The 21,189-nt window shown below is 39.5% G+C and overlaps 1 protein-coding gene across 56 annotated transcripts in view; it reads left to right on the forward strand.

Annotated features, from left to right (window-relative positions):
- Nucleotides 1-21,189, forward strand: part of NRXN3 (neurexin 3) — a 1,697,919-nt gene that overhangs the window by 1,479,196 nt on the left and 197,534 nt on the right. For all 56 annotated transcript variants that reach the window (NR_158973.1, NR_158975.1, NR_158974.1 and 53 more), the window contains one exon: nucleotides 14,210-14,381. Coding sequence is in view for 49 of the 56 variants with exons in the window: in XM_011537363.2 (XP_011535665.1) it covers nucleotides 14,210-14,381 (172 nt within the window). In the remaining 7 variants the exon portion in view is untranslated. The remainder of the gene's footprint in view (nucleotides 1-14,209; nucleotides 14,382-21,189) is intronic.

The following is a 21,189-nucleotide window of genomic DNA, read 5'->3' on the forward strand; positions in this document are numbered from 1 at the left end:
TACTTGTCTGTGTTTGTATATGTTCAGCTCTGAGAGTCTTCCTTAACATTCAAATGTCTCTGTCTTGGCAAAAATTAGTGAGGTTTTAGAAAGTAGAAAAGCTGGTTGATAGTGTAAGGAATTTTTAGGCCAATTTTCTATTTTTTCCTTCTATAGACTGAATTTTATTTTTATACCAATAGTTTCAATCTTCTAAACTTCTCCCATTCCTCTTTACTTTCTCAACTGCATCCACTTAAATACATCTTATTGTTTCAGTCAGCCTTGGCTGCTATAACAGAATGGCATAGATTGGGTGACTTAAAAACAACAAATATTTATTGCTCCCCATTCTGGAGACTAGGAAGTCCAAGGTCAAGGTGCCAGTCAATTTGGTTTCTGCTGAGGGTCCATTTCCCGACTGACAGATGGCCACCTTCTTGCTGTATCTTTACATGGAGGAGAGAGAAATCATGCCTAATGTCTTTTCTATCTCCGGGCAGGTAGTGCAGGAATTGAACTTGGTTGGAGGACATCCAGCTGGTGTCTGCTGCAGATTGCTTGCTTGCTTGCTTGCTTGCTTGATGTGTGGGGAAAAACCTCCACACATCTAGCGTCAGAAGCGTGTTGTGAGAGTATAGGAGAAACTGAGTTTGTTTTTTCTACACAGAAGAATTTCCTATCCTGAAGGCCAGGTAATGAATCCTCTTTCTCTGGTTACTTGGGCAATTTATCAATGACTGTCTGTGGATATTTATTTGGAAATATTATATGGGAACGTTCCTTCATTTTTTATATCTCAATTTAGGAAACCATGTGCTTCTTTCTCATTTCTCTTTTGTCCCCATCAGCGATCTATATTTTTTTAAATTGTTATTAGAAACATCTCTTATTTAATCTCCATCATCACCCAACAAGCTCAGCAATGTGACTTTGTCTTACGGATGAGGAAACTGGGTGCAGAGTATTTGTGGCTTTCCCCAAAACCTGCAGTAAGTGAACAACTAGAATTATATCCAAGCCTTCTGATTCAAATGCAGTTGCCCTATGCACCACACCAAAGTATCGTTTACACTCTTGAGGGCTAAAGAATGCCAGATGTATTTATCTAACTTCTGATGTGCCTCCCAAAATGCCCTATACAGAGGATAGGATCAATACACACTTGATTTCAAAATTTCTATGACTTGATTCTACTTACACATCTTATTGATTTGGAGAAATAAAGGTACTTCTTGGGGGAAAACATGACTACATGTTAAAATTCTGAATTTGGCAAGTCTAGTGCAAACTGAAATGGATGGTGGTTGAAGTACAGCCAACTCATGGTGGTCCAAAAGACTGTGGTGAGGGGATGGCCTCCCAAGAGGCAGGGATTGAGCCCTACACTGACCAGAAATCACTGCATTACAGAATAATGGAGAAGGCAAGACAATGAAACTGAGTTTCTCTGAAAGCTTGGCATCTTGGATATTTCAAAGATTAAAGTTGTATTTAATGGGAATCACGTGGTTCAATTAACTGGTAATAGGATGGATCAGTGTCCACCTCTAGGACTTCAATTTGAGTCTAATCCAAACACAGAAGCAGAGTAGGTTGAAGCCCTTGGTAATGAACACTAAGCCTTTCACCTCCCGGTCCACAGAGAAAGTTCCTCTCAGGCCACAGAGGCCTGCTGGCAATTTTCCTGAAGACAGTTTGGTAGACTATGTGAAACAAGTGAACAGCTATGGTCACCTGAGAGGTAGTGGTACTCTACATTTTCAAAAGTTCTCTCCCAAAGCAAAACCATAGCAAAAATTGAAAAGCAGTAAATGAACCATGGATGGAGATATTGCACTATGCACTTGTCTTGCTAGCAGAAGAATGCAAAGGTGCTTTCACCATTGTGTCAGATGCTTGGCTGAACATTTATTAAACTTTTGATATGGAGGAAGACATAGAACATAAAGATGCATTTTCTTCCCTCACAATGCTCATGGTGTGACAGGAAAAAAAAAGAATTGTTCCATTAAAAAAACATTGAAATGAATCAACACAAACTGATGTTATTATTGAATAGATAATGGAGAGATTGTGGGATAATTAGAGAATAAATCTGGTTATCAAAGATGTCTCTGGAAGGCACGTGTGTAAAGTTGTTTTCAGCTCTGTACACCTGTGCACACTGGCCAGGAAAGCTGGACCTTCTGCAGAGAAAACTGTCTTCTCCAGATAGGAAAGTGTGCCTCATTGAGCTTTGGGCTAGGCCAGAGCTAGAAGATCTTTCCTGTGTTTGGGTCATTCCTAGATCAGTGATCCCTAATGACCAGTTCCATTCCCTAAAGCTAATGTTGACTCTAGATCTTTCTGACATTTGATTCATGCTGGAATCCATAGTTTGTTTTGAGTCAGGTCTATAATAGATTCATATTCCTGAGAGGCTTCCTATTGAAAGTGAAGACTCAGGATTCCACTGACTGTTCTGCCACTGTTTAAGGACGATATTACAGTTGGATTATAGATGACCTCCAGTGGACACAGAGGTGCTTAGATTCTACTGAGCCACCATTACTTTGCCTAAAAGAAAATAAGAGGGTCAAAGGGACTAACTTTTGTGTAAGTTTTAAGGTTTTATTCAAACACAAACACACACAATCACACACACATTTACATGGCAACATATCTACAAATAACTATTTCTCTAGCATTATGTTCCTCAGCCTCTTGAATGACATCATTTACCTTCGTCATGTTAATGAACAAAATTGTAGCTCACTCATAAAGAAGAGAGAGAAGAATGTTTGTGCCCTTTAAATGTCAAAAAATAAATGCTTCTTCATATTGTGTATGAGTTCACTATAAACTCATGGATAATTTGTGTATCTGAAGCTCTGACCGGCTTCCAGAGGGCTTACAGTGCCTGCCATATCTTAGGGGAACAATGACCTCATGCTGTTCCAGGGACATTTCTATTTCTCCATTTGGCTGAAACTTACTCACTTTATACTTTGGTAGGGATACTGAATTCAAGTAAATTAAAATTAGGAGATGTGTTCTCTAATTATTCTATCGAAAGAGCACATAGCTTTGAAATAATTCTCAATGCTAGTATGGTGGACTCTTTTCAAAAGGTATGAGTCAGCTCCCTGTGACATGTTTTCCAGTGTCTGCTTGGGGTCACCTTTACTAATTTCATCAGGACTGAGGGAAAGCACTTTCCTTTTCATATTTCTGCTTGGGTGTCCAGATCATTCTCCCCTACAGAGGCTTTGATGCTGTCATGGAGGTCATAGGGCCGGCCTTTTTTCGAAGTACTGGAGCTTTTTAAATTTCACTTTTTAAAAAATTTTTGTTGCTTTTATTATGGTGGTTGGGGGTAAGTAAGGACCCACCTTTTGAATTAGAATTACTGATCTTATCCAAGAGAGAATGTTGTAGTGGGTGATAGTTGACGAAGAAGAGAACCATAAAATATCACCTGGATGAAAGACCTAACTGCAGCACTATCTCCAGGACACACACACACACACCAGAGTCCCCACGTGCAGACAGGCACTGCTGATATATTACAGTCTGTTGGCCATTTTGTTTATGATAACTAGGAAAGGAAAAATGAGCCCTTATTTCAGTGTGTTCATCCCAAGATGATGACACAGTAGATTCCCCTTGCAGGTAAACCGAGAGAGCTCAGTTAATCACCATTTATCACTCAAGTGACTCAAGTATTTTGCAGATGCATTGGAGCCCTGGAGACTGAGATATTCATTGGGCTGCAATGCTATTCTCTTTTCTCATTCCATCTAATATAATAAAATAAACTCAAATCCTAACATCAGAGTGATGTGTGCTATCTTTTAGAGTCCCAAGCCTTTAAAATGTATTTGATTCACTCCCATAGAACTAGATACATTTTCCAAACGAAATGTGATATCATTACAATTTTAATGACTTATAACTTTGCTCCATCTCCTCCATTACCAGACTATTCCTAGCTACTACCATCTTTTGCCAGAAGCCTCTAATTTATTTCTCTGCATCTGCAGCTGACCTCCTTCAAACAGTGTTATTTTGAGTTGATTTTAGTATATAAACCACTCTCAGTGGGATCTAAGATAGATTAGTTTATGCCTAATTGAGTGAGCTTTTGTAGATCCTCTTATTTTATATAACTTATTAGAAAATATCTAAGATATATTGTTCTATTTGCCAAATAATAATTGTGAATCAGGTTCATTGTACACTGGTTACCAATATGCCTGAGCCTAGTGAGAGAGAACACCCCCACACACAAGTCACATATAGGCAGTAAAGGACAGCAGAAGCTGGGGAATCATTTTGAGCTCATTCTCCAAGGCTCAGGAAAGCTGCCTATGGCAAATGGAATCCACCTGTGCACGTACTGCACCTAAGGGACCTTGGAAAGTACCCCACTCTGGGTTTTATACCCCAGGGGCAATATGACTCAATAAGCTGAAGTGTTGAAGGACATCCTGTTCTGGTAGGAAGTGGAACAGAGACTTGGCTATTCCAGCCAGTTCCTCCTTATCTGAGAATGTTACATTTCTGGTATATTCTTTAGTTATTTTTGAGAACTACAAGTGAGAAAAGAACACAAACCAGGTTGGTCCGAGGCTACCTAGAGAACTTTCTTCCAATAGGTGAATGAGCAGGTATGTTACAGGTTCCTCATTTGATCCTCTCACCCTATTTGAGTTATTCTGACCACTTGTACATCAACTATTGATTAAAATCTGAAAAAAGAAAATCATAGGTGACCTTAAATTAAACTTAAATTAAACTTAAAAAAAAAAACTTAAAAAAAATTAAACTTAAAAAAAGTTCCACAACGAACAGGGGTCAGCAACTTTTTCTGTAAAGGGCCAGAAAGTAAATATTTTAGGCTTGTAGGCCACATGATCTCTGTTGCAGCTACTCATGTCTGCTGTTGTAGCATGGAAGCAGCCAAAGATAATAATACATCAATGAATGAGTCCAGCCGTGTCCCAATAAAACTTTATTTATAAAAACAGGGAACAATTATATTTGGCACACAGTTTGCTGATCTCTGCTCTAGGCCAATCTATCTCCTCCAACTTTTGCATATTCATACCTCAAACATATCATAAAAAACTGCCACAATCTAAACCGTATTATCTGATGACCCTAAGTACTAAATCTCTCCATTCTGAAATGTGTATATTAATTTTTTTTCAGGTAGAGAATGGTATAGAATTTAGACAGGGAATTTATCTGAGGGATTGACTGAAAATGCCTTACTTATGAAAAAAGAGTTCTTGGTTGGTGTTTATTATTCATGTAGGTCCATTTACCTTGAAGCCATAATGCTAATATAGCCTGTCATTTGGAAGTTAGATAAATAGTAAAGCACTTTAAAGAATCACTAAAAGTTTCCTCACAACCACAGAATAGGTCTTGGAGGGTTACTCACGCTTTGCTGATCTCTCATTTATAGAGGAGCAGCTGCTCATTTTTGGCCTAGAATATCCACCTCTAAGAGAAGAAATTTCTCCTTTGCATCCTGTTCAGAGCTGATCATGCATATTCTTGGAAACTGACTAAAATGACCTAGTCTGTAGTAAAGTAACTAATTTAGAGTTGGGACTATCAACTAATGTTATTTTGCCAGAGGAGATGAATGAAAAGACTTCCTTAGGGACTAGCAGCAATCAGTCAGTAGGGAACAGGGTTACCAAGACCAGATGGAGAAAATGGCATAGGACATGTGTATTAGACCTGCCACTTTCTGGCTCTGTGAGCATGCATTTCAAAGTTTATACCTGCAAAGTGGGCATTTGACAGAGTAGGGGACAGTCGGAGAGCTTATCGATACATACTTATTGCTCTCCTTGTGTTCTGTTTGCTGGAACACAATTTTAGATCAAATATTTAAAAATTCACACGTGCGTGCTCATGGCTGTGCACTCATGTGCATGTGTGCCTGTTGTGTGCGTGCATATATACCATACAGAAAAGTACTGTCTGGAGAATACATTAGACTATGCATGTAAATGTGTGTAGAATGTTTTTCTTTTTTTTCATGCAATACATGCTCTATGGATATTTGTTAAGTGACTGAAGTTTTGCACTCCCTGGTGCAGTTTCTCAATAGTGGCACTATTGATATTAGAGCCAGCTATTTCTTTGTTGTGTATCATTGTATATTTAGCAGCATGCGTGGCCTCGACCCACTAGATTCTAGAAGCACTCCACTTCAGTTGTGACAGCCAAAAATGTCTCCAGACATTGCCAAATGTCCCTGGAGATAAGCATCCCTGTTGAAATCACTGCCTTAGTGAACCAAGACATTAATGTAAGAAAGTGGTTCCTAAACTTTAGCATCTGAATCAATCACCTTAAGTTCTTGTGAAAATACATGTTACTGGGCCTCACACTAGAGTTTCTGATTCAGAGGGTCTTGCACTAGCACTAGACCCAACAATTTACATGTCTAATGAGTCCGCTGGTGATACTGCTGCTGGGGGTCTTAGAACCTCACTTTGTAAGCACATAAGTAAGGTGTAAGATGTTCTGGAAAAATTCCAGATGAGTTAAAATGTGTTTCCTCATTTCAAGGACTGTAATGTTTGTTGTTAGTGTGAGCACAGGGCTTAAGGTTTCTTTATGAAGACCGCTGGGTGGTTCCTCACAGCTGTGGTTGAGATTTAGCGGGGAAACCGGACGTTTATGGGAGACGTTCAGTCTGTACTGGATTTTAGTCAGCACTGCCCTGCCAGCTGTCACCTGAGTCCTGCCAGGAGACTGCTCCAGGTCTTGGCACAGGGCTGGGGCACCTATGGAAATGAACTTGAAGTTTGCCTTGCAGTCAAACTTAACTACCAAATAAACCAGCATGACATTGGGGTCTGTGAATGAGAAGTGGATGTTCCGAGTAGATTTGAAGGACGTGATGACTCAGGATGCCAGTTGTGACTGGTGACTTAGAGCCGTGGTAGCTTTGACTTGCATCTTATTTACTTGCATCGGCTGTCTTGTCCTTCCTTGCTTCTCGCCTTTTCAGGTCATGGTTCCTGATGTCCTAAGCTGTCATCCCTACTCTCTCTCTCTCTTTTTTTTTTTTTTTTGCTTGGAGTCAGAGATGGAGCTGTCTCGAGCTATTTATCAGTCTTATCTCTCTGCGCCCTCTGTTAGCATTTCAGACTGTGGATCTAATCCACTTTAATTGATTGACCTCGTGCAACCAGACATCAGTAAAACACCAGGTGAAGCACAACTGCAGCCAGGGGAGAGGTGGATGTAACTTTCCTGGTTGGGTGCAAAGTTCGCTGAGGCCTATAAAGATTTAGAAAAGGAGAAATAGTTTTCAAGCCATTTAATATGAATTTTCTAGGGACAATGTATACAGATCCCAGAGTCGATGACCTTGACTGGGAGACAGTCGTTGTAAATAGAGCAGTATCCTATAGGGAGTGTGCAAATGCCTCTGACTCACCTGTCATCCATATTAGTACTATTTCTCAGCTAGCATCACTATTATCACCATCTCCAAACCCATCATTAACATATTTTTACATCATTGTTTGTAGATACCTTCAGAATTTGCCAAGATTTTATTTATTTCTCTTAATAAGTACTATTTAACACAAGTATTACTGTTGCTCTTGTCTTCGTTATCGTTTTTCTAGACAAAGCTTGAGCCATGGATAGTTGAGGGACCTGCTCAAGATCACATGGAAAAAATAATGTGGAGCCTCAATCAGTCCCAATTCTTTTGATTCTAAATCTCAAATTCTTCTAGAACACAAAGTAGACATTTTCCTCTCCCCTGCTTTTCCTGCCACAGCCACACTTCAGCTTCTCAAGGGGAGGGGACTGGGTCATTGTCATGAGGTGATCATGGACTTTGAAAGATCTTCAAGCTCTACAGCCGTGGTCTTGTCAGTTTGGGTGATTTCTGAAAGGCATCTTCTCTGATTTAGATTTTTCAACGGAGAGACCTGGTCTCTTACCTCTCTTGAAATACCTTAATAATGAAGTGCTTACTCTGTGCTTATAAACCAACAACTGTCCAGAGTGTAGAACAAGAAGACCATAATGTTGAAAGAGTAGAGACTAATGATCTTCACTGAAAGACACTTAATAGCCACAAAAAGAGCGCAAATTATGTTCTACTGAGTTCAATGTTTTATTCTAAAGAACTGCAGTAAAAGCCTCTGTTAGTCAAAGTCAAAATTGATCAATCAGGTAAGCTGTAACTCATCTTTTTGTATTTTACAGATGCATTTATAAAGCATAGTGAGATGTTTTGCCTAAGATTTATTGCACGAAATTTGAATATGGTAGCAATAATTTATTTTATCCTATAATACTGAAATCATATTTGGTCTCTTATGGTACAAAAAAGATTCTTCTAATTTTTTTAAAATCACAACCACACATTCTAATTCATCATTTATTCATTTCCATATCCATTAATTTAACAAACATTTACTGAGCTCATGTTAGGATACTTACATTTAAAATACTCACAATTAGGCTAAGTGGACAGATAAGTTAGGCCTACATAAAATATGTAATATGTAACACATGTATTTCTGTTATAGAAATAACTCAATTATAACATGTAAAAGCTGTGATTGTCGAAAATGCATGGATTTTAGAGTCAGACCTGGATTCTATTTTTCCATAAGTCTCTTATTGTGTGAATTCTCTTGTAATTAATTGTAAGAATTTGAATATACTTCTATTATAAAAATATTTACTGAGCACCTATTCTGTCCATTTAGGTAGCCTGGTTTATGTTGCAGTGACAAAAGCCTCAAACACTTGGTGCTATAAAGCAACCAAGCTTTGTTTCTCAGCCATCTGCATGTCCGTAGCAAGTTGGCTTATTGCCATCCTCACTCAATGACCCGGAATGACAAAGAAGCCGCTACCAGGAGTTTGCTGGGTGCAGTGGTTGACAACAAATGAGAGAACTCTCGTGGGTCTCACACCAGCAACTAAATGCATGGCTCAGGAATGATACTCAATTTATCAGTTAACACTGTTCTCTTGGCCCAACCCATCACAACGAGACCCAAAAGTCCTCTCTTACTACAACCCTATAATGGAGGAGAACTAGGAAAGTGTGGTAAACAGTGCCGCTCATTATTTTCTTTACTAGGAACCAGACTTTGAAATGGGTATGGAAGACCTTGCTGTGCCTGGCCCACAAGAGGCATTATTTACATATTGCCTTCCTTGTGTTCTTGCCTAGCACTGAACTAACAAATTCTGTGGGAAGCCTAGCAGTTAAGACACTGAGACCTGCTTCCATTGCCCATATCCCTGGCATACATTTGAAAATCCCAGTTCTGTTTCTCTCAGCTGCAATTTTCTAAAATAGCGGATGATGCATTCCGTCTTCCCCAGGGGCAGTCTGGAATGAACGAAGAGATAGCCTTCAGTGACATCTTTATTCCTGAGAATTCTTCTTGCCCCTGAGCATTTCTGCTCCTGGAGTCTGACCCTGGTGTCGGTAGCATCTCTTAGGTCAGCACCAATAACTGCAGTGTGACTGATTGAGGATAGGGCAGCTGAAGCTGGACTAATTTGGGGAGCCAGGTGGGCTTATAAACAGTCATTATTGATGAAGAGTGACTTACTGGCTATTTAAAGACAGCTGGTTTCTGTGCTGTTCAGTTTTTTTTTTTTCCTGAATGCACTTGAGGATTCTTTGGTAATGTCTTCTGATTTACCACTTGTTTTTGTTTTTAATATCAAGGAAGAATATAGATTGAAGCAATTGTCTTGGTAGCAACTTTAGTGGTGATGGCTGTGGAGTTATTAAAATTTATAGTCATGCTGTTTTTGCAGCTACACTTTGCATTTCTTAGAGAGGCTTATAATATCTGGTTACAAAGAATGTAGAGAGATAGCAACTACCAAATTGGGATAGGAAATCAACCCTGCATAAATTGTTTTAATATATATTCTGTTTGCTAAAATTTACATTTATTTTCACAATATGTCTTGATGACAGTGCCCACCAAGCCAACTAGCCCTTAGCTCATGACACTACTTTCAGTTACACTAATGAGGAGAAAGAAGGGAGAAAGAAGACTGACATTTTGTGGGTCCAAAATTATCCACAGTGAATGCCAGGTGCTTCACATGTCTGTGCTCTCCTATAACCCTCACAGCAAGCTTCAGAGGTAACAACTGGCCCCTCTTTCCCTCCACACATCTCTTTATGAAAGAGAAATCAGAAGTAAAATAACCAGACCAGGGTCATACAGCTTTAAGAGCCATCGCTGTTATTTGAACCATGCTAGGCTAAAACCCACATTTATTCTATTGAAACAGTTTCTCCAAAAATCAGAGTGTTTTATATCTGATCAAATGATGGGTGGTTCCTTCTCCTGATCTGTTTTATCTCATATATTTATGTAATGTTTTATTACTTATAAAGTACCATCATGTTCATCATATTATATCATCCTTACAACAGCCCTATGAAGTACGAAATGCTGATATCCTGTCCTTATAGTGTATTATCAAGAAGTGGCTTCAGAAAAATCAAGTAATTTGCCCAAGGTCAGTCAGGTCTGACACCAAAGCCAATGCTTTTGTTCCCTCACATCTTCTCTTTTCTAGACACATGAGCCAGCGGAGTTGATTTGCATGGCAGCTGTGCATGATAGTTTCAAGCCTGGGCAACTCTATGGGTATTCGCCACAAGGCTTCCGTGACTTCTAATGAACTGAAACAAAGCAGTTAGCCATGGATTATAATGCCACCGTGGTCCCATGACAAATGACAAGGAGGTTGCAGTAATGAAATTTTATTACTGCAAATAGAGACCACATCTGAGATCTAGCACGGCCACATTTACCATTGTGGGAAACAAAATGAAACACCTGGGAAAGGATCTCCACTGACTTTAGCAGTGAGCTAACAGGATTAAGAAGATCTCCCAGAAACACTGATTACAATGGCAAATGTGTGGCACCTAAGATAAGGACCAAATATTTATTCTGGCAGAGATTAAATCTTTTCTTTTCCTGAATCAAATATGGATCTTGCAGAAAATCTGCCCAAGAATATATCTTGCTGATCAGCGAACTCACTGAGCCAGAACCGTACTTGGCCACTGCTGTCACTGAAAAGCTACAGAATGCTGCTTTAAAGGTCTCCATGCTTCCCCTAAAACTGTTTTCCATCCATGATTAATTAGTGACTTAGGGGTGAATTGAATCACCAGCTGTCCTTTCCATGCATCCAGGATTTATGTACTGGTTTCTCATTGAAGAACAGTGGTGCAATAAACAGCCCTCATTTGTGGGGTGGGCAGAGGAGTAATGGTGTCTGCAGTCATGGTTTCTTAACTCCTCTAGTACTTCCATTCTGCTAAGCAGGTTATGGCTCACATTATTACAGCCTAGCTTATTTAGGCATGAGGGTCGTGGGCAGTGACACACACACACCCTTAGAAATGAATACCAGTTCTTTAAGAGAAAGCAGAAAAGTCATATTACCATTTCTGAATTCCTTGAGAAATAAGAAGAATAAAATGGACAATAATATTAGCTATGGGCATGAAAAGTACAAAAAGAACCCATAATCAGGTTCATTTATATATGCATGCATATTTTAAAGCTAGGTGCTTTTCCTAGTGCAGAGATGTAGATAGCGGTTTCAACAAACAGATTTACGAAATCATGAGTGTGTTTAGTCACAATTTTGGGAGGTACCTGGAACTCTTTTCCCAGAGAACAGAACATGGGGATTGCAGACATCATTTTATATTGCATATTATGTAATCAGGGCACAAAGGAAATACTGAGGTCCACCCTGTATCTCTGCATCCTTGAATGCTCACAGCCTGCTTTGGTTGATCATTCTATATTCCTCGCTTCTAAGATCAAGACTTCTGCATGACTTGTCCATTCTTTTATTGGATACAAGATGAACTGACATACTAAGTGATAAATGGAAACTTGAGGAAAGCCTTCATTTTGGGAAAAGAAGTGAAGTGTACCAAACTATATATAGAAACCAGTGTCCCTCCCTCCAGAACTCTTAATTTGTTGACTTTAGGTGTAGTAGGTGCTTAATAAATTTTGTATTTGTGTATTTAATGAATACATGAATGAATAAAACAAATGACTAAATCTGAGATTTAGAAAAACTCTTTTCTATATCTTGATTTATATGGATTCTGGACTTTTCTCACATTCTTCTTTTTCTTTTCCTCCTTCTGGTTTTCCTCCTTCTCTTCCTTTTACTTCTTCTTGAATAAAAAAATAATAGAAGATAACAAAGGATCGTGAACTAGTACTGTGACTCAGTCTTGTAGAATGTCAGAATTACTACTGATATGGTTTGGCTGTGTTCCCACGCAAATCTCATCTTGAATTATAGTTCCCATAATCCCAACGTGTTGTGGGAGGGAGCCAGTGGGAGGTAATTGGCTCATGTGAGCAGTTACCTCCATGTTGTTCTCATGATAGTGAGTGAGTTCTCATGATATCTGATGGTTTTATGAGGGGGTTTTCCTCTTTTGCCTGGCACTTCTCCTTCCTGCTGCCACGTGAAGAAGGATGTGTTTGCTTTCCAGGCCCCCACAGCCATGCTGAACTGTGAGTCAATTAAACCTCTTTTGTTCATAAATTACCCAGTCTCAGGTGTGTCTTTACTCACAGAATGGAAAGGACTAATACAACTACTAAATTTTATTATCCTTGAATGCCCAACATATTGCCAGTAATTTGGAAAACTAAAGAAATTGAGCAAGATGTCTCCCTTCTGTCCTTACACATGCCTCCAACACCCTGCAATGCTATGTCTTTCCAAGAGCTTAAGAGAGGCTGATTATATTTGAATAGTAAGGTTACATTTATTTCATGTCTCATTGTGACTACTAGTTCCAACTTTTAGTCATAACCAATTATTAGAGAAGAGTCAGAGTTTTAATAGCATTATTATGTATGCTTTGTGTTTTAGTGCACTTCCCAGGAGGTTGGTGATATCACCACCAGCATCACCATTTGCATCATTATTATCTGTATTAGTCCATCCTCACATTGCTATAAAGAAATACCTGAGAATGAGTGATTTATAAAGAAAAGAGTTTTTAATTGGCTCACAGTTCTGCAGGATGTATAGGAAGCATAGCAGCATCTGCTTCTGGGGAGCCCTCAGGAAGCTTCCAATCATGGCAAATAGGGGAGGAAGAGTCTCACATGACAGGAGCAGGAACAAGAGAGACACAGGGAAGATGCCACACACTTTAAACAACCAGATCTCATAAGAACTCACTCACTATCACGAGAACAGGACCAAGGGAATGGTACTAAAACGTTCATGAGAAATTGTCCCCATGATCCAATCACCTCCCACCAGGCCCCATCTCCAACACTGGAGATTACAACTGAACAGGAGATTTGGGTGGGGACACATCCACACCATATCACCGTCTTCACTGCCATAGTGTTACTCTTATCTAATTCATTGCAATTTCCCTTCTGACAAGTCTTTGATGGCCACAGAGGTTCTCTTCTGCTGTGTTGCATAAGCTCTGGTCTTGAATATATCTCTCTTTGGATTAATCTGAGGAGTAGGGCTACAAGTTGGGAAGCATGGCAGCCATCTAATCATGAAAATTCTAGGTGAGTTTCATTGGCCTCTACTGGGGTTACCTTTTCTATGTGGTTTGGAACTGCAGAACCATTATGTGCATGTGTGTGTGTGTACGCGTGTGTGTGTGTGTGTGTATATTTATATACACACACACATATATCCAGCCCCTCTGACATTGGCTCCTAACCATTCTGTACACCTCTGCTTTGCCTTGATCGCATGAAAATATGCTGAGAAGCTCATATTTCCACTTTAATTGTAAATCTGAATTGATAAATGATTTAAGGTCCAGTGTCTTGGTGTACTCTCTTAGTAAACAGGCCTAATTCATCTCACAGAAATAAACTTTGCATTGTCATTGCATAGCTACTAGGTAGTTCCAGGCCTGATTTGCCTTGAGGGGAATTGAATGATGTAACCTGTGCGGTGCAGCCTGTGAGAGCAATTTGGGTGGTTTTTATGCCATTGGTTTTTATGCTCAGGATGAAAGCTCATGGAGAAATGTAGAATGCTATTATTATCTTATCTTCATGCTGACAGCTCCCTCTGGGCACCTACAGGTTTATTGCTGGTTGGAGGATCAAGTTTAAAGGGAGAGAACTTCGTGGTTGGTGATAACTATGCCTTTTGTGTTTCTTTATTATAGGAACAGGGGAAAATTGGAGTTGTCTTCAACATTGGCACAGTTGACATCTCCATCAAAGAGGAGAGAACCCCTGTAAATGACGGCAAATACCATGTGGTACGCTTCACCAGGAACGGCGGCAACGCCACCCTGCAGGTGGACAACTGGCCAGTGAATGAACATTATCCTACAGGTACATGTTGTTCGCTCAATGGTCCTACTCTTTTTGACTCTCCCATTCTCACTTTTCAGTGGTGATTTTTCTCATGACTGTCACCAAATTCCAGAACACTGAGTGAAGTACACATTCATGATTTTTTTGTATGAGAAGATAAGTCATCTCTTTAGGACTTGATCCAGTATAGGGAGCTTCTGGAGACTTTACCAACTATGCACTGGACACTTTTTGTCAACCTTTGACTGATACAGCCTGACTGGCTCATACCAAAGACAATTACGGTAGATTTTGCAGGGCCTGTAGATGAGGAGCAGTGAAGGGAAGGATCATCTCTATCATGAGCTAGTGTCGATAATCATAAGATGCTCCATTTGAGACCCAGACTTTGTGGTGCCATTTAGTCGGATGCAGTTGAAGGTGCAGATGCCAGAGAGAGACTCTAAAAGGACAATTACTGAACTTGAAGACACAGATCAAGTCATGGTAACAATGAGAGAAAAACTAAGGTGGAATTTTATTCGTTTGGTGGACTTTGCTAGTTTTTATTTTCTCACTTACCCTAAGCCTGCCTGGATATTCAAAGGTTGGTCCTAGTAGTCATTTTAATAGCAAGCATGCTGGTGTGGCAGGAAAAGGGGTTAATCATCTGTTTAAATTTTACAGTCAAGAAACATTCAGCAACAAATTCCCAGAGCCAGATGGCTGAATCAAGCACAACGGGAGAAAAGGTTGCCTTCCTTAAAAGAGATCATTCAAATAATCCCTCAGCTTTCCCTCTTGCCTCTCACTTCTCCCAGGAAAAGTCCTGAATGCTGATCGTAAAAGTGCCAGGAATGGAAGGGACAACCCTTCAGCAAAGGGCCATTGTTCCACAATTGCACTGTCATCTGATGGATGCAAGAGAATAGTGAGAATATTGCACTTCTCACTAATGTGGGCATGAAGTGATGTGCTACTCTCTATCCTACACACCAAACTCCTCACAATTTTCTCACCACTTTTCTCTAACTTCCTTTACAGTGAGGTGGGCACAATAACAAAGAAGCTTGAAGCACATTTTCACATGTCTAAGAGCCATTAGCTAATAATGGTTATGCTTGTGAGAAAGATACAAAGTGAATTTGCCTATTTGTAGGCCAAGACTTTGAATGGCTTGAAGGCTGTTGTATCTCCACACCTAACTCAGCATTAATTTTCTTTAAAAGCCTATCAGAAGTATCTGCGCTGTTGGGTTGTTCCCTAACTGCTAGAGTCCCGCTATATCTGTTTAAGAATTGTAAGAGCATCTGGAAACAGCATGCAAGACCCCCAAGGTATTGAGGCAAAAAGCTCCACCCACTATTGATTTGCCATCTCGGTTTCCATAAAACAGCCAGCTCAGCCATTGCTAGGGGTCTCAGAATTTCTTAGATTAAGGCACATAAATGCCCTTATGAGGTTATCTTTGAGTATTTGAAGAAAGCCAAAGCTATTAACAGCTTCTAGGAATTTTTATCATTCAAATTCACTACACACTAATAGACTTAATTTTTAAATGCTTCCTGCTTAATCCCTGATGGATGGGGGAGAGGGTGAAAGGAATAAAAGCAGTCCAGTATCTTAAAAGCTGTTCATAGGCTCATAGAAAAAAATCAATCTCTCTCTCCATATGTGTTATCATTGGCCTTGCTAGTGTTGCTGAAGGGTTTGTTGTGTTTCTGTTAGGAATTTCAAAGATTTCTAAATTGATGTTAACCACTTGCCTTGAGCCAATATAGAATCTACAAGTTTGCTGCCAGCAATGAGCAGGCTCTTTAATGGTCATTTTTAAAGCCACAGCTATGTAACCAAACCGGAGATTCTTGCTGTGCGCCTATCTTTTGGTGTCTTTCTTTAGTTCCAAATTATGGGTTGCTTCCTATATGTTTTCAAAACAGATTAAGCCTTTCTTTAATAGCATTGCTCCCTCCTGAAAACTATTATTATCATTGGAAACTGTTATTTAGTAACGATATGTGTTATTATTTCAGGACAGGGTACAGTATAGCATTTATAAGTATGGGCCTTGGAGTCAACTGGCTAGAGTTGGGATCTTGGTTTCATCACCTGTGAGTCTAAAGACCTTGAAATGTCCTAAGCATTGAAATATTTGGTGCCTCTCCCCACATGTAATTCAAAATACAGTAACACTGAACCATAAAATAAGTGTAAGAATTTCTAAGAGTTTTTATTTTTCTCCTCTGATGATTTCTGTAATGCTTTCAAAATATATTAGATTCTTTCTTCCCAAATTCTCATTTTGTACTTTCTCTGTTTTGTTGTTCTTTAAGAAGATGTTCATTCTTCTCCCTGAGACTGTTTCCTAGTCTAGACAACCAGGGTAATGATAATACCTGGTTAATGTGAAGATTAAGTGAGTTGACCACATGTATAATGCTGGGACAATTAAGTCAATCCTCAATAAATGTTAGCTGTGAGGATTACCAATCATTTGGCTAGCATTTTAAATTAGGACATATTTTTGAGTACAGATTTCTTCATTTTGAAGATGAAATACCCTATCAATTAGACAAGGTAGATATTTTTTATTCTCCATTTCAAATAAAAACAGAGACCCAAGGAGGTGCTATGCCCTTCCTAAGGTCACATAGCAAGTGAAGGAAGACCTAGGACAAGATTTTTCTGTTTCCAATTGGGCAGTTTTCACTATTGCTCCCCCAGAGAATTGGGGGATGTTCTGAAAAATGCATAGCTAGAAATGAGTATTTTTCTTCTTGTGTCATCTTAGATTTCTTTCTTTAAAGAAGTGTCATATCTCAAAGGTCACTTTCCAATGATCACACAAAAGTGGTTATTGTGAGGTGTTGAGTTCAAAATCCTCATTTAAAAGTTTTATTGGCACCAGTGACCCCAAGCTGCTCTCCTTACAACAATGGCAATGTGCTCCCATGAAGCAGCTGAAAGAATAGTGAGTATTTAAAGGAGCTATATCCCCTTACCTTGCTGCCTCAATTAAAAAGTTGTTGTGTGATATACTAGATCGAGGTTTATGTTCCACTCTGCCAAGACTTCCTAGGAGCGGTTCACTTTTTGAGCCTTGGATACCTTATTTTCTCTCCTCTCTGCTTCCCTGTGCTATTAAAAGGATCAATTTAACTATTAATAATTTAAAGTATCATGAGAAAAATCTGGCAATGTTTATTTTAAATCATAAGATCAAAATTCCCCGTGTCTGGGCCATCAAACAAAGCCATCAACCTGGCAAGGCAGTCTTGACAGTTTCTACAAAAATGTGTCCTTTTGTTTTCTAAAGTCATTCTATTTTATTATTTTATCAATAACAGTAGGTTTAGAAATCATCAAGGGTTTAGTCTCACTACTCACTTATTACTAATGTTTAAACAGTAAAGACATACAGAGTAGCTCCTATAGAAGATTTATGTTAAGTTATCTCACTTGGAGAACATGCTCTCGGGGAATTGTTCCTGCCTACAAGGTCTGAATGAGTCAGCTGTGCACCGGGATGAATGGGTCATCTCCACAGTCTTCTCATGGGCATTTATGGGGCTCTACTGAAACATCCCACCGTGAAATATTTAGAACCCAGCTGGGCACAGGGCATGTAGCACTGGCTCTTTCTTTGTGAATCAGGGAAGAAACAGAATGAAAATAGTTCTATAGCAATCGGAATCTTATATCACTAAATTCTGGGAGGTAGAACTGAAAAGCAACTTCTTTCTTTGAACCTGAAAATAGAAAAGCTAAGAAACAGGAGAGGGAAATAAAAGAAGAATCAGCCCAGAGCTATCATCCAGGCACTGACAAATGTTCCTTATAAAGTCTCTGATTGTTGTCCCTATACAATGCGGTGGTAGGAACAAGGGAGGGGGGGTGAAAGGTGACTTGAGTATGAGGAATTAATTTTAGCCACAGCTCTAGGCCCCCTGGAAGGCTGAGCTGACTGGGTTTGTTCCATATCTTCTCTCTGCTGTGAGTGGGTGGCCGGTGATACTGTCACTGCTGTAAGATCCCTGAGCATGGTCCAGTAAAGGCTTTTCAGGTCCTATCTAGGCTTCCTGGGACATGCAGACTGATACACAGCTTCAATCTTTGTATGTCAGGGGGTGCTGAGGAGAGCAGGGCATACCAACTCAGTTCAAGTGCTCTTCACAGAATTCCTCTTCTTCAGTCTTTAAAATGCACACGGATGACCTACATTTAAATCCTATTTGACCACCCAACTTAGAACGTGAAAAAGAGGTAAAAGTAGCTCCCTTTCAAGGATGCTACATTAGAAAACTCTCTTTATATTTGAGTTTGTCAAATTCCACAGAAACTTGTCTTTATAGGGGTTGGAAGAGAAAACATTGCTATGGTACTTATAAAACATTGCTATAGTACTTATTGATGACCAAAATACCTTCATATCGGTTATTACATTTGAGCCTCACTCCATCCTGTGAAGGACAGGGTTTGGTATTATTACTCCTGCCATACCCATTTTAAGGTTACGTTATCAAGGCTCTGAAAGGCTAAATAACTTTCCCAGTGTCACACAGCTTAAGGAGCAGAGCCAACACTTTTCTATCCTGATCCTCAGACTGCACAGCCTCAAACTTTCTGCTCACTTTCCTATTTCTCAGAGCCACGATTTTATTAATAATGACAGTATTTCTTTTTGTAAAAACATATTCTCAAATGGAAATCTCTGCCTGGAGTAGTCTAGTTAGTAAGGTTTTTCAACCTATTGACATTTGGGGCTGGACACATCTTTGCTGTTGGTGTGTAAGGAAGGGGGCGGGGTACTGTTTTGCACATTGCAGGATGTTTAGCAGCATCCATGACTTTTACCCCCTGGATGCCACTCTCATGTTTCCACAAGTGCCAAATACCCTCTGGTCAGCAAAATCACCCCCATATAAGAGCCGCTGACTTAGAGAAAGTTTCCAACATATTTTGTTTAAATGTTCATCATGTTTTTGTAATTTAGACAGTATACATCGGTATAAGAAAGATTTTTTTTTTGTCCACATCTCTTCCTCAATTATTGAGACTTTAAAGGATTAAAAACAAGTCTATGTACTTGACATGATGCTGAAATTTCTCAGGCCTTGGGTTTTCATTAATTCCTAGCCAGGAGGTTTACTTTCCTTTTCTTTATGTCTTTTCCTGCGAACATTTGAGACCTTGCCAGATTTGAAGCATGCATTAAAACAAGCCCCATCTACCTGCTCATTCATCCGTTCAGGACTAGCGTTGCTTTCAGTTCAACAGGGGGAAAAACAGAGAGAGCAGAGTCCTGCAGAGGGAATAAGAAGTATAAATACAATCAAGAAGGAAAGCCATATTTGAACAAGGTTTCAGGACTACAGACATATAAGGGCAACCAGAGAAAGCCTCACTTAATGAATGTGTTTGAACATTGTGAGGAACATTTTAAAACCATCTTATAAAGAAGGTGCTCCAACATTCAGTCACAAAATGTATCAATTAATCACTCAAACTAGTGTATCTTGAATATTCACACTGCTAACTAGTCATCCTTTCCAATTTGTCAGAAATGAATTAGGATTCACATGTTTGTGAGTTTCTATTTCCAAGGGAATTATTTCCACATTATGCAGTTTGTCTTCGGTTAACAAAAATGTTTTAAAAGAATGTTTTCAATAGGCACTTATATATACATATTTGTGTAAAGCAATGGTCTGCAACCTGGCTGAAATTGAGAATCCCCTGGGAAGTTTAATAAATTGCCAGTGCTCGGGCACTGGTCTCAGGGCATCTAATTTAACTGAACTGGGGTGTGGTCCATGGATCAGCAGCATCAGCTTCCCCTGGGAGCTTGTTAAAAATGCAGACTCTCAGGCACCACCCCGTACCTGCAAAATCAGATCCCCCAGTGCTATGGGTACATTGTAAATTGAGAAACACTGGCCCAGGCATTTTTTTGTTTGTTTTTTGTTGTTTTTAAAAAAAGCTCCTAAGGTGATTCTCTGTGTAGCTAAGTTTGACATTCACTGATATGTAGAAGCTAAAAAATGTGTCTTTCTTTCAGACTGACTACCGGTACTGTTCAATGTGGTAGCCGCCAACCATATGTTGCTATTGAGCAGTGTGGCTGGTATGACGGAGATTCTGAAATTTTTGTTTTATTATGTACTTATGTCCTAGGCACTGAAGGCTTTAAATACATTTCTCATTCAGTCCTCACTCCAACACTATGAGGCTATAGGTTAGAGGCTAGTATTAGCCAGTGCAGGACTACAATATGCCATCTTTTATTTCCTTTTATGTGTTTTCTACCATGTAAACGATGGGCATTTGCCTTCATGTACCTTCTGAACTCATCTAATGAGTTTTGATATTATACAATCACAGGGATAATAACTCCACCCTATCCAAGCAGCTGTTGGAGAGTCATTAAAGGGTGATGATTAAGCATGAGGGTTTTGGAGTCAGACTTTCTAGGTGTAACCAAGGGCCCCTGGCCCTGTCACTTGCCAGCTTGCCCACAACCTTGAGAAGGTTCCCGCTGTCGAGAAGTTTCTCTATGCTTTGATCTCCATGATCATATATATGCATTTTCTCGCATTAAAACCAAGTGAATGCTCAGATTGACATTACTATAGGACACTTCACAAAAAAAGAAAGTACTGGCTAGAGGTATGTTTCCTAAACACACATGGCAAACTACCCTTTCTTAAGCTATATTTGTATGCTCTGACAGCATGGCTATGGTGCAAATCTATCAACAAACTTGACCCTAAGAAGCCAGTTACATGACCTATAAAATGGGGATTGTGTTCATTGTTCTGTCTTAGAAAGTGGAAAGTTCTTTGAATAC

The sequence above is a fragment of the Homo sapiens genome, chromosome 14 (genome assembly GCF_000001405.40).
Source record: "Homo sapiens chromosome 14, GRCh38.p14 Primary Assembly".
NCBI classification, from domain to species: Eukaryota; Metazoa; Chordata; class Mammalia; order Primates; family Hominidae; genus Homo; species Homo sapiens.